Source organism: Homo sapiens, chromosome 3, assembly GCF_000001405.40.
Source record: "Homo sapiens chromosome 3, GRCh38.p14 Primary Assembly".
In the NCBI taxonomy this organism is placed as follows: domain Eukaryota; kingdom Metazoa; phylum Chordata; class Mammalia; order Primates; family Hominidae; genus Homo; species Homo sapiens.
The window spans coordinates 167,252,651-167,267,179 of NC_000003.12; the positions used below are offsets into that span (position 1 = coordinate 167,252,651).

Here is a 14,529-nt window from a genome sequence, read left to right on the forward strand (position 1 = left end):
CATCAGCAAAGCCCTGGCAGTTCACAGGCTACCAAGTGTGTGCTTGCTTTTGTATATAAAAAGTTATGTGTTCTAGTGAAAATACTGATGTTAGTGTATGAGAAAATAAGTGACACAGGAAAAAACTGAAGCACATAGGAACAAAGATAATTTTTAAAAATGGAAAAGCTGGAATGGCTGAAAAAAAGACTAGCGTTTGTACACTATTGCATTCAATTTGTAAATAATAAAATGTATCAATTTTTAAAATTACAAAGCTCTTTTTAAAATTAAAAACTGTATGTTTGTCCTTTTAGATCCAGTTCAGACTTCACATACTTTATTTCAGAATTGGCCTGTAATGTAACAATTATCTCTAGGAAGATTTATGTTTGATTTTTAATAATTCAAGCAAGGTAAATGAATGATGGGTAAATATGGATTATTGACTTTTTCCTCTAACCCCTATTAAATAAATAGAAAAAGCAGAATAATAAAAATAAAATCATAAAAGGAGCTAAACAAAGGGATACAATTGACATAATAACTTTGAGAAGAGTCAACCAAATAAAATTTATTGAGGTGTGGCTGGGTGTTATTCCAATACACAGTGTGTGCCCAACACACAGACACCAAATGAAGAATAGGAAAGAGACAGTCATAAAAAGAACAGGCTAGTCTCACCAATACCACGTCAATAGGGAGAAAAGTAGGTGAAAAGAAGTAAGGAGGAGACATCTGAAATCCTTATTAAAGCTGGCTAATCATCTATCTGAAAAATCTTAACAGAGACAAGAAAATTGCAAATCTGAAGGTTTCCCCACAGAGACAGCACACAGGAAAACAGGTCAATAGAAATCTGGCATTTAATAAAATCCAGAAAAAGACAAGAAAGCCCAGATCTTTCAACAGAGAAAGCTGAGCTCCCCAGTCCTATCCTCCTCCCCATGCCTTGGAGCTAGCAGGATACAGAAGAGTACAATACAGAACCCGCAAACAGTAGCTCCCCAGAAAAGACTGAGAGAGCTCAGTAAGAGTGAAGAGAATTTCAGGAAGAATTTAGTTTCACTATATCAGAAAAGATGGAAGGTAGGAACAAAGCCACTCACAATAAGCATAGGCAAGTGAAATCCAAAGAAATGACACAACTAGATATATAAACAAACTAGTATCTTTAGCATGTAACGGGTGAAAAAAATAAAAAACATAAAATTTGGTAGAAAACATAGATCAGGACCATAAGATTTTCCACAAGTCCTTTGGCTACAAAAGAAGTAATGAAAGCAAACTTTTTGAAAAGAGCAAAATTAACCTCAAAGATGGAGCAACAACATGACAGGCATCAAAGGAAAACTAATTAAATGGTCACCTGCTCCTGGATTGGATCCTATACCAGAAAAAAACAAGCTGTAACAAACATCAATGGGGTAGTTTTAAAAAACTAAATATGCCATGTGGATTAGAAAATCACATTGTATCTTGTAATGTGAGCTTCCTGATTTTGATCATTGTGCTATGGTTATATAAGAGAAAGCAGTTTTTCTGGGACACACACACTGACATATTTTTTTGTAAAGTGTTACAATGTTTTTAACTTCCTCTCACTGTTCAGAACAAAAGGAGGTACAAAAGGAGGGTGTGTATGTGCATGTGTGTGCACACGTGTGTGTATGCAAATAGGACAAAACATAGCTAGTGAACCGGGTACAGTGTATGTGGGGGAAGAGTTCTTTGTACTATACTTGTATTTTGCAAATTTTCTGTTTTAACTTATATCAAAATAGAAAACTACCAAAAAATGTCAAAGAAAAAGTTACAACATCTTTAGAGAATGACTTTTTTAAAAGTCAAGTGATAAAGAGTACACTATAACTAGGTAAAAATTAAAATCCTGACATATAGACAAGCTTGAGATAATGATAGCAAATACAAAGGGAAATTAAAAACTAGCTAAAACAATTGAAGAAATATAAGTAATACTTTTTTAAAGAGACGCCAACATAAAGAAAATAGGTTTCTCAGCAGGAGAAAGCCTAATGGAACAGAAAAGCAATTCAAAGATATAAAAACAGAAAATTTCTTTGAAAATAACGGGTAATGTACTCTACAGACAGAGAGAGAACCCTGTGTTTAAAAAAAATGCTGAATTATTGACACTAAAACAAAATCCTGGACCAGTTACTGACTTTCAAGGATTAAGAAAAATTTCTCCAAGCATTCAGTCAGGAAAGAAGCCTGTCACATGTGTGTGTGTGTGTGAGAGAGAGAGAGAATGAGAGAGAGAGAGAGAAAGGGAGAGAGAGAGACAGAGAATCTAGGAGGCTTCAGATTACTTCACAGCATTCGGAGCCAGAAAATGGCAAATCATTATATACAAGGTTTAAGACAAAGGTGACCAAATGATATTATCCTCGGCCAATTTGCCATCTAAATAGAAATGTAGCAGGTATTCTCAAATATAAAGAAAACTCAGGTAATAAAACTTCTATAAATTCTACCTGCAGGGAAAAATTATATGATAATTAAACTGAACCAAACAAAAGTTTAATGAAAAAAGCTGTGATAAAGGGCTAACTAGCACCATATTCAGGGTCAGACGACAACAGGAAAATGTCTGCTACATACAGAGGAAAGGAAACTGTGACCTACTAAATACATCTAATGTGCCATTCGGCAATAAGACAAAAAACAGACATTATCATGAATGCTATAATAAAACCATCAAGAGATGAAATCAAGATAAAAGGCTCAGGATTGGGAAGTCATAGAAGAAAATGCTGGTACTAAACATTTAATCCATATTGATTTTCACTAAGAAAAAAATAAAAGGAAAACTTTACAAAACAAGAAACTATAACTACAACAAGGGATGTATTCAGTATGATCTAGATTAGCATGTGGTTTTAAAAAATAAACAAATGAGCCCTCATCTTTTATTATAGGGAATTATTACTATCTGAAACTAAAGCATATAGTTAGAAATGGCCTCCATTACTCTTTATTTTTACCTTTTCTCTCAATTTTTAAATTTATTTTTAATTTTTGTGAGTACAAAGTAGGTATATATATTTATGGGGTACATGAGATATTTTGATACAGGCATGCAATGTGTGATAACTAAATCATGAAAAATTTGGAACACATCTCCCCAGGCATTACGCTTTTGTGTTTCAAACAATCCAATTATATTCTCTAGTTATTTTTAAATGTACAATTAAATTATAATTGACTATAGTCTCTGGGTTGTTCTATCTGACACTAAGTCTTATTCATTCTTTCTATTTTCAGTACCCATTAACCATTCCCACCACTCCACCCACACTCCCCACTATACTTCCTAGCCTCTGGTAAGCATTCTTCTATTTTCTATCTCCATGAGTTTAATTGTTTTGATGTTTAGATCCCACAAATAAGTGATAACATGCAAAGTTCGTCTTGCTGTGCCTGGCTTATTTCACTTGACAAAACAATCTCCAGTGCCATCCATGTTGTCACAAATGACAGAATCTTATCCTCTTTTATGATTGAATAATACTTCATTATGTATATGTACCACATTTTCTTTATCCATTCATCTGTTAATGAATACTTAGGTTACATCCAAATCTTGGCCATTGTGAACAGTGCTGTAACAAACATAAGAGGGCAGATATCTCTTGGATATATGGGTTTCTTTTTTTACTTTTTAAATTGTTGTGGGCACATAGTAGGTGTATATATTTATGGGGTACATGAAATGTTTTGATATAGACATGCAATGTGAAATAAGCACATCATGGAGAATGGAGTATCCATCCCTTCAAGCACTTATTATTTGAGTTACAAATAATCCAATAACATTCTTTAAGTTATTTTAAAATGTACAATTAAAGTTATTATTGACTATAGTAACCCTGTTGTGCTATCAAATAGCAGGTCTTATGTATTATTTCTAACTATTTTTTGGACCCATTAACCATCCCACCTCCACCCCACCCCACCCCACCCCACCCCACTACCCTTTCAAGCCTCTGGTAATTATCCTTCTATTTTCTATCTCAATGAGTTCAATTGTTTTGATTTTTAGATCCCACAAATAAGCAAGAACGTGCTATAATTGTCTTTCTGTGCCTAGCTTATTTAACTTAATGTAATGATCTCCAGCTCCATCCAAGTTGCTGCAAATGACTGGATCTCATTCTCTTTTATGGCTGAATGGTACTCCATTGTGTATATGTATCACATTTTATTTTCCATTCATCTGTTGATGGACCCTTAGGTTGCTTCTGAATCTTAGCTATTGTAAACAGTACTGCAACAAACATAAGAATGCAGATATCTCTTCAATATACTGATTTCCTTTCTTTTGGGTATACACCCAGCAGTGGGATTAATGGGTCGTATTGTAGCTCTATTTTTAACTTTTTAAGGAACCTCCAAACTGTTCTCCATAGTGTTTGAACTAACTTATGTTCCCACCAACAGTGTACAAGGGTTCCCTTTTCTCCACATGCTTGCCAGCAGGCTTTATTGCCTGTCTTTTGTATAAAAATTTTATTTGTGGCTATTACAAATGGAATTAGTTTTTTATTTCTTTTTCAGATTGTTCACTGTTGGCATATAGTAATGCTAGTGATTTTTGTATGTTGATTTTGTATCCTGCAACTTACTGAATATGTTTATCAGTTCTAATAGTATTTTGGTGGTCTTCAGGTTTTTCTAAATTTAACATCATTTATCCACAAACAAGGATTATTTAATTTCTTCCTTTCCGATTTGGATGCCCTTTACTTCTTTATCTTTTTTAATTGCTCTAAAACATACAGTACTATGCTGATTAACAGCATAGTTATGTTTCAGGTTTAAGAGGGCAAACTTTTAGGTTCTCCCTATTCAGTTTAATACTAGCTGTGGGTCTATCATAGATGGCTTTTATTATGTTAAGACCTTCTATACCCAGTTTTTTAAAGGTTTTCATCATGGAGGGACGTTAACTTTATCAAATGGTTTTTCAGCATCAATTGAAATGATCATATGGTTATTGTCCTTTATTCTGTTGATATGATGTATCACATTGATTATGGCCATTCTTTCAGGAGGTGGTATCACATTGTGGTTTTGATTTGCATTTACCTGATCATTAGCGATATTGAGCATTTTTTCATGTGTTTGTTGGCCATTTGTGTATCTTCTTTTGAGCATTGTCTATTCATGTCCTTAGCACACTTTTTGAAGGGATTTTTTTCTTTTTTTACTGATTTGTTTGAGTTCATTGTACATTCTGGGTATTAGTCCTTTGTCACATGTATAGATTGTGAAGATTTTCTCCCAGTCTGTGGGATATCTGTTTGCTCTTCTGACTGTTCCTTCTGCTGAGCAAAAACTCTTTAGTTTAATTCGGTCTCAGCTATTTATCTTTGTTTTTATTGCATTTGCTTTTGGGTTCTTGGTCATGAAATGCTTGCCTAAGCCAATGTCTAGAAGGGTTTTTCCAATATCCCCAGTGAGTTTTGATTATGGCTATAATCATAAAACAGTAGATGTTGGCATGGATGCGTTGAACAGGGAACACTTCTACACTGCTGGTGGGAATGTAAACTAGTACAGCCACTATGGAAAACAGTGTGAAGATTCCTTTAAGAACCAAAAGTAGAACTACCATTTGATCCAGAAATCCCACTACTGGGTATCAATCTTCTAGGGTTTTTATAGTTTCCCATCCTAGATTTAAGTTCTTAATCCATTTTGATTTGATTTTTGTATAAGGTGAGAAATGAGGATCTAGTTTTATTCTCCAACATGTGGCTAGCCAATTATCCCAGCACCATTTGTTTAAAAGGGTGACAGTGATAGTTTGCCTTCGTCTTTACTGATTTGGATGCCCTTTGTTTCTTTCTGTTGTCTTATTACTCTGGCTAGGACTTCAGTACTATGTTGAAGAAGAGTGGTAAGAGTAGACATCCTGGTCTTGTTCCACTTCTCAGAGGAAATGCTTTCAACTTTTCCCCAGATGGCTTTTTTACATTAAGGTATGTCCCTTGTTTGCTGATTTTGCCGAGAGTTTTAATCATAAAGGGATGCTGGATTTTGTTGAATGCTTTTTCTGCATCTATTGAAATGATCAGGTGATTTTTGTTTTAATTCTGTGTATGTGGTGCATCACATTTATTGACTTGATTATGGCAAACCATCCCTCCATCCCTGGTATAAAATCTATTTGATCAAGGTGGATTATCTTTTTGATATATTGTTGGATTTGATTAGCTAGTATTTTGTTGAGGATTTTAGCATCTATGTTCATCAAGGATATCAGTCTGTAGTTTTCTTTTTTGGTTATGTCCTTTCCTGGTTTTGGTATTAGGGTGATGCTGGCTTCATAGAATGAACTAGAGAGGGTTGCTTCTTTCTCTATCTTGTGGAAGAGTGGCAAAAGGATTGGTACCAATTCTTCTTCAAATGTCTGGTAGAATTCTGCTGTGAATCCGTCTGGTCATGGACCCTTTTTTTTGATAATTTTTAAATTACCATTTCAATCTCACTGCTTGTTATTGATCTGTTCAGGGTATCTAATTCTTCCTGATTTAAGCTAAGAGGGTTATATTTTTCCAGGAATTTATCCATGTATTCTAGGTTTTCTAGTTTATGCGGGTAAAGCTGTTCTTAGCAGCCTTGAATGATCTTTTGTATTTCAGTGGTGTCAGTTGTAATATCTCCTGTTTCATTTCTTAGTGAGGTTATTTGGATTTTCTCTCTTCTTTTCTTGGTTAATGTTGTTAATGGTCTATCAATTTTATTTATCTTTTCGAAGAACCACCTGTTTGTTTCATTTATCTTTTGTATTTTGTTCATTTGTTTCAATTTCATTTCGTTCTGCTCTGATCTTGGTTATTTCCTTTCTTCTGCTGGGTTTGGGTTTGGTTTGTTCCTGTTTCCTTAGTTCCTTGAGGTGTGACCTTAGAATGTCAGTTTGTGCTCTTTCAGTCTTTTTGATATAGGCGTTCAGGGCTATGAACTTTCCTCTTAGCACCACCTTTGCCTTACCCCAGAGGTTTTGATACGTTGTGTCATTATTGTCATTCAGTTTGAAGAATTTTTAAATTTCTACCTTGATTTCATTTTTAATCCAGTGCTCACTCAGGAGCAGTTATTTAATTTTCATGTATTTGTATGGTTTTGAAGATTGCTTTTGGAGTTGATTTCCAGTTTTATTCCACTGTGGTCAGAGAGTGCTTGATATAATTTCAATTTTTAAAAAATTTATTGAGGCTCATTTTATGGCCTATTTTGCTTTTTAACTTGTATTTTTGTTTTATAAGTCCTGTGTGAATTAAGCTTTAAACAGGTTCTGTTTTGATGTGTTTCTAGGGTTTGTTTCAAGATTTAGAGCTCTTTTTAGCAGTTCTTATAGTGGTGGCTTGGTAATGGTGAATTCTCTCAGCATTTGTTTGTCTGAAAAAGATTGTATCTTTCCTTCATATATGATGCTTAGTTTCACTGGATACAAAATTCTTGTCTGGTAATTGTTTTGTTTGAGAAGGCTGAAGATAGGGCCCCAATCCCTTCTAGCTTATAGGGTTTCTGCTGAGAAATCTGCTGTTAATCTGATAGGTTTTCCTTTATAGGTTACCTGGTGCTTCTGTCTTACAGCTCTTAAGATTCTTCCCTTTGTCTCAACTTTGGATAACCTCATGGAAATGTACCTAGGTGAAGATCTTTTTGCAGTGAATTTCCCAGGTGTTCTTTCTGCTTCTTGTATTTGGATGTCTAGGTCTCTAGGAAGGCCGGGAAGTTTTCCTCGATTATTCCCCAAACACATTTTTCAAGCTCTTAGAATTCTCTTCTTCCTCAGAACACCAATTATTCTTAGGTTTAGTTGTTTAACATAATCTCAGACTTCTTGGAGGCTTTGTTCATATTTTCTTATTCTTTTTGCTTTGTCTTTGTTGGATTGGGTTAATTTAAAGACCTTGTCTTTGAGCTTCAAATTTCTTCTACTTGTTCAACTCTATTGCTGAGATTTTCCAGAGGATTTTGCATTTCTAAAAGTGTGTCCAAAGTTTTCTGAGTTTTTTATTGTTTTGTCTTTAAGCTATCTACCTCCTTGAATATTTCTCCCTTCACTTCTTGTATCATATTTTGAATTTCCTTGCATTAGGCTTCGCATTTCTCTGGTTCCTCCCTGATTAGCTTAATAACTGATCCCCTGAATTCTTTTTCAGGTAAATCAGGGATTTCTTCTTGGCTTGGATCAATTGCTGGTGAGCATGTGTGTTTTCTGGGGGGTGTTGAAGAGCCTTGTTTTCTCATATTACCAGGGAAGGTTTTCTGGTTCCTTCTCATTTGGGTAGGCTCTGTCAGAGGGAAGGTCTAGGGCTAAAGCCTGTTGTTCAGATTCTTTTGTCCCACAGGGTGTTCCCTTGATGTAGTACTCTCCCCCTATTCCTATGGATGTGGATTCCTCTGAGCTGAACTGCAGTGATTGTTGTCTCTCTTCCGGGTCTAGCCACCCAGAGAGTCTACCTGGCTCTGGACTGGTACTGGGTGTTGCCTGCCCAGCATCCTATGATGTGAACCATCTATGGGTCTCTCAGCCATGGATACCAGCACCTGTTCCAGTGGAGGTGGCGGAGGGGTGCAATGGACTCTGTGAGGTTCTTAGCTTTGGTGGTTTAATGCTCTATTTTTGTACTGGTTGGCCTCCTGCCAGGAGGTGGTGCTTTCCAGAGATCATCAGGTGTGGTAGTATGGGGGAGGAACTGGCGGTGGTCGGGGCCCTAGAACACCCAAGATTATATGCCATTTGTCTTCCACTACTAGGGTGGGTAGGAAAGGACCATCAGGTGGGGGTGGGGCTAGGCGTGTCTGAGCTCAGACTGTCCTTGGGCAGGTCTTGCTGCAGCTGCTGTGGGGAATGGGAGTGAGGGTCTGAGTTCACTGGAGTTGTGTACCTAGAAGGATTATGGCTGCCTCTGCTGAGTCATGCAGGTTGTCAGGGAAGTGGGAGAAAGCCAGCAGTCACAAGCCTCATCCAGCTCCCACACAAACTGAAGGGCCTGTCTCACTCCCACCATGCCCCACCACCCAACAGCCCTCACACCCAGATCATTTCCAGGTGTGGAGCTATATGGGTTTGAAAACTTGTCCCAGGCTACCCGCCTCCCAACTGCAAAAAAAAAAAAAAAAAAAAAAAAGTGGGGGCGGGGGCTTGGTTCTTCCCCTACCTGTGGAGTCTGCACACCAGATTTGCACCCTCCCCCAAATTCTGGACAGAAGGCTTCCCACCCCAATCAAATGGTTACAAAGTTCAGCTAGAGATTTGCTTATCACTGTGTAGTTTTACCCCTTGCTCTTTTGGATCCCTGTGGTGCAGGCAGGAATGGCCTGGTAGGTGACCCAACAAGCTCCCAGGGCCTTTCTGCTTCTTCCTCTACCCCTGTATTTTGCTCGGCTCTCCAAATTAACTCAGCTCCAGGTAAAGTCGGAAACTTCTCACGCAAACAGAACTTCAGCTTTCAGCTTCTCCAGTGGGGATGTATGTTTGGAAGAGGGGGTCTCTCTTTCCCACTTCAACAGTTGGGGCACTCAGTTTTTGTGGGTCGGGGGGGGCGTCTCCCAGGTCCTGCAGGAGCAGTCTGCTTTCTTCAGAGGGTCTGTGGGTCCTCTCAGGATTTCTGGTTTGCTCTTGCAGTCCATCTGGAACTAAAATTCACAATGCGAGCCAGCCACTGCCTGTTGCTCTTTCTGGAGCTGCAATCTAGTCCTGCCTCCAGTCTGCCATAATCTCCCGCATTCTCTAACCGTTTTTGTTGGAACACTTTCAATAGGATTGGTATAAGTTCTTCTTTAAATGTTTAGTAGAATTCATCAGTGAAACCATCAGGTTCTGGGCTTCTTTATATTGGGAGACATTTTTGGTTTGTTTGTTTGTTTTGAGATGGGGTTTCACTCTTGTTGCCCAGGCTGGAGTGGAAAGGTACAGTTTCAGCTCACTGCAACCTCTCCCTAGGAGACATTTTTATTATGGCTTCAATCTCATTGTTATTGGTATGTTCAGGTTTTGGACTTCTTCGTGGTTCAATCTTGGCAGGTTGTATATGCCTAGGCATTTATCCATTTCTTCTAGATTTTCCAGTTTATTGTTATATAATTGCCATAGTAGCCACTAATGATCCTCTGAATTTCTGAAGTATCAGTTGTAATGTCTTCTTTTTCATCACTGATTTTATCTATTTGGCTCTTCTCTCATTTTTCCTTAATCTGGTTAAAGGTTTGTCAATTTTCTTTATCTTTTCAAGAAACCAACTTTTTGTTTCATTGATCTTTTGTGTTGTTTTCTTCCATTCAAATTCATTTATTTCTGTTCTGATCATTAGTATTTCTTTTCTTCCACTAATTTGAGGTTTGGTTTGTGCTTGCTTTTCTAGTTCTTTTTTTTTTTTTTTTTTTTGAGATGGAGTCTAGTTCTGTTGCCCAGGCTTGAGTGCAGTGATGTAATCTCAGCTCACTGCAACCTTCACCTCCTGGCTCAAGCAATTCTCCTGCCTCAGCCTCCCAAGTACCTGGGATTACAGGCACGCACCACTGCGCCCAACTAATTTTTGTACTTTTAGTAGAGACGGGGTTTCACCTGCCTCAGCCTCCCAAAGTGCTGGGATTACAGGCATGAGCTATGGTGCCTGTCCTCTGGTTCTTTAAGATACAGGTTTTATTTATTTGAAGTTATTTTGTTTTTGTTTTTATTTCATGTAGGCACATATTGCTACAATTTCTCTCCTACTGCTTTCATTGTATCCTATAGGTTTTGGTATATGGTATTTACATTATCATTTGTTTCAAGAAATTTTTCCATTTCCTTCTTAATTTATACATTGATACACTGGTCATTTGGGAGCATACTGTTTAATTTACATGTGTTTTCCAAAATTTCTCTTGTTACTGATTTATAGTTTTATTTCACTGTGGTCAGAGAATATTCTTGACATTATTTCCAATTTTTGGATATTTTATGACTTGTTTTGTTACCTAACACATGGTCTATCTTTGAGAATAATCCATGTGCAGAGGAGAAGAATATGTATTCTGCAGCTGTTGGATGAAATGTTCTGTAAATATCTATTAGGTCCAGTTGTTCTATAGTGCATATTAAGTCTAGTGTTTCTTCATTGATTTTCTGTCTTCAAGATCTGCCCAATGCAGAAAGTGGAGTGTTGAAGTCTCCAGCTATTATTGTATTGAGGTCTATCTCTCTCTTTAGTTCTAATAATATTTGCGTTATATATCTGGGTACTCCAGTGTTGGTATGTATATATTTGTCACCATTATACCCTCTTGCTGAATTGACCCCTTTATCATTATATAATGACCTTCTTCTTACAGTTTTTGTCTTGAAATCTATTGTGTCTGATAAAGTATAGCTACTCCTGCTCTTTTTTGGTTTCCATTGTCATAGAATATCTTTTTTCCATTCCTTTATTTTCAGTTCATGTGTATCTTTCAGGTAAAGTAAGTTTCTTATAGGCAACACATCATTGGGCTTTATTTTTCCATCCATTCAGCCATTCTGTCTTTTAATTGGAGAGTTTAGTTCATTTACATTCAATGTTGTTATTGATAAGGACTTACTCCTGCCATTTCATTATTTGTTTTCTGGTTGTTTTGTAGTCTTCTCTTCTGTCTTTCCTTCCTTCCTCTCTTCCTTTTAGTGAAGGTGATTTTCTCTGCTGGTATGCTTTAATTTACGCTTTTTATTTTTTTATATCTTTTGTATGTTTTTCAATTTGATGTTCCCATGAGACTTGCAAGTAATATGTTATAACCCATCATTTTAAACTGATGGCAACTTAACACTGATTACATAAACAAAGAAATGCACAACATGAAAACTAATAAAAACTCTATACTTTAAACTATGAACCTGCTTTTTAACTTTTTGTTGTTTCTCTTTATGTCTTACTGTACTGTCTGTGTCTTGAAAAGTTGTTATAGTTACTATTTTTGGTTGATTCATCATTTAGTCTTTCTACTTAAGTCAGGAAAAGTTTACACACCACCATTACAGTGTTATACTATTCTGTGCTTTTTTCTGTGTTTATACCAGTGAGCTTTATACTTTCACAGTCAACAATCTCAGCAGTTTACCTGAGGTTCTATTCTACTGCAGCTAAGTTGGCACTCAGACCACAAGACAAAGTCCTTCCCACTCTTCTCTTCCCTTTCTATAGGCAGAGGTCTCTGTGGCCTTGACCACCCCTAGTCCATGGGGATTTCTACTCGGCCACCACCAATGTTTGCCTAAAGCCCACGGGCTCTTCCATCGGCTTATGATGAATGCTGTCAGGCCTGGGACTCACCCTTCAGGATACTGGGCTCCCATCTGGCCCATGCCAGGCCAAGTCTAGAAATACTGTTCAAGAATCTAGGTCTGGACTTCAGGTCCCCACGAACCTGCTTGTTGCTCTATTCCACTGTGGCCAAGCTGGTAGCCAGGGTACAAGACAAAGTCCCCTTTACTTTTCCCTCTGCTTTGCAAAATGCAATTTTTCATCATTTTCATTGTAGTTGCCACAGCTGAGAATGTGCTGGGTCTCCCCTGAAGCCAGCACATCTTAGAGTCCAAGGCCTGTGGTGTACTCCCTTGGTATCACTGGAGATTATTCAGGGTCTGAGGGCTCTTCAGTTAGCAGGTGATGAATCCTGCCAGGACTGGGTTCTCGTCCCTTCAAGGCAGCAGATTCACTTTTGGCTCAGGTTGTGTCAAGAAATATCATCTAGGAGCTAGGACCTGAAATGGGGGGCTCACAACTCTGTTCAGTGCCCTCTCCTACTGTGGCTGAGCTGGTAGCCAAGAAGCAAGACAAAGCCCTCCTTACTCTTCACTCTCTTTCATTATGCAGAAGGAAGGAGTCACTTTTGTTGCTATGAGCTGCATAGCCTGGGGTTGGGGGAGGGATGGTGCAAGCTCTCCCTTAGCTGTGCCAGGTGGTGTCTCTCTAGGTCATGTGCCATGCTTGTTCACTGACTCTAAGCCCAGCCTAGCACTAGCTGCTGCCTACAAATTGTAGTCCTTGTGTCCTAGATTGCCTTTCAAGTTTACCTATGACCCCCAGGCACTTCAGCTCAATGTGGCATGGCTTCCCAAGGAAGTCAAGTTCTGACCGCTGGAATGGATGATTCCCCTCTGGAATGTGGCTGGTCCAAATGCTTCCTCCATGCATGGGCACTGGCTGAGCCCAGCACAGCTTTATTCTCTGCTGTGACCAGGTAGCACTGAGTTGAATGTGAAGTCCTCTAGTTGATGTGCTCTCCCTCCCCAGAGAGCACAGATTCTCTCTCCACACTCCAGGGTTGCTGCCAGGAGGTGGGGGAAGGGTGGCATTGGTAATTCAGTATGTCTCTCTTGCCCTTTTCAATACCTCTTTCCACAACATGAAGTTAAAACCAGGTACTGTGATTACTCACCTGAGTTTTGGTTCCTGCCACGGTGCTTTCCTATGTGTAGACAGTTGTTAAAATTTGGTGTTCCAGTGTCGGGGAGGATGGGTAAATGAATGATGTAGGCTTCTGTTTTGCCATGTTTCTCCTCCCCTTTTTTCTCAACTTTTGAAGGTATATTTGTAAAAATAATGGATTAAACCATATAAAGTTGCCAATATTCTACTTTTTTTGGTCTACAAAAGGGTAATTTCGTACAGTTTGTAAGATACAATGAATCTTTGTGAGTCTCTCTTCAAAAGGTTTAGCCTGTTAACTTCCTTACCCTTTGTTCTCCAACTTAACTTTCTTGTTTCTCCTTGCCAAAAGTTACTATAAACAGCTTACCCCCTTCCCGTCAGTTCTAATCAATAACTCACATCTCTTCCCTTGGTTACCTGTACCCATTTTTCCCTTGAAACTGCACGTCTCACAAGCTCCACCACTGTACCTCACATCCCCCTCCCTTCCATATTTAGAAAAATATTTACAAGTAGCCAATTGGGTCAGCTCAGATTTTGCGGTCCAACCCCAGCCCACGGGGGAAGAACACAGAAATAGGGATGACGTTAAGGGTATAAAAAACTCCCGGTCCCCTTTGTTCAGTGTGCACTTGCAATCTTGATTGACGTGAGTGGCACCCTTTTGCAAAAGTAAATTGCCTTGCTGAGGAAACTAAATTTATATTCGAGTGCTGTTTCTTTTGAGGCATCGGAAATTCATTTATAACAATTTGGTGGCTCGTATGGGGAGCCCATTCTTCTCTGGGGAGGGATTTCCGGTCCTTTCCCGTGAGAAGGCACGCCCCGCCACCTCATTGCAGTGGCTTCAGGTTGAGGAATCGAGACCCACCCAGTGTGATGAATAAACCCGGCCTCTCAGCAACCCGGGAAAGGAACAAGCCGGCAGCTTGGGAAAATGGGGCTCACATACTGCAGCGACCAGGTAAACTCTGTGCACAAACCAAGGTAAGAAAAGTCACAGGGGCGACAAAGTATTTCCTTGGAAGTTGAAAGTGTGTGAATGGTAACAATTACCACTGCTGTGCAGAGTAAGTCCAATCTGCGGTTCCACGGTCACCTCATATGGCTTAGGGTGGCC

At 38.5% G+C, this 14,529-nt stretch overlaps 1 protein-coding gene across 20 annotated transcripts in view; it reads right to left on the reverse strand.

The window, feature by feature from the left end:
- Positions 1-14,529, reverse strand: part of ZBBX (zinc finger B-box domain containing) — a 229,485-nt gene that overhangs the window by 74,249 nt on the left and 140,707 nt on the right. The gene's annotated exons all lie outside the window — the stretch shown is intronic.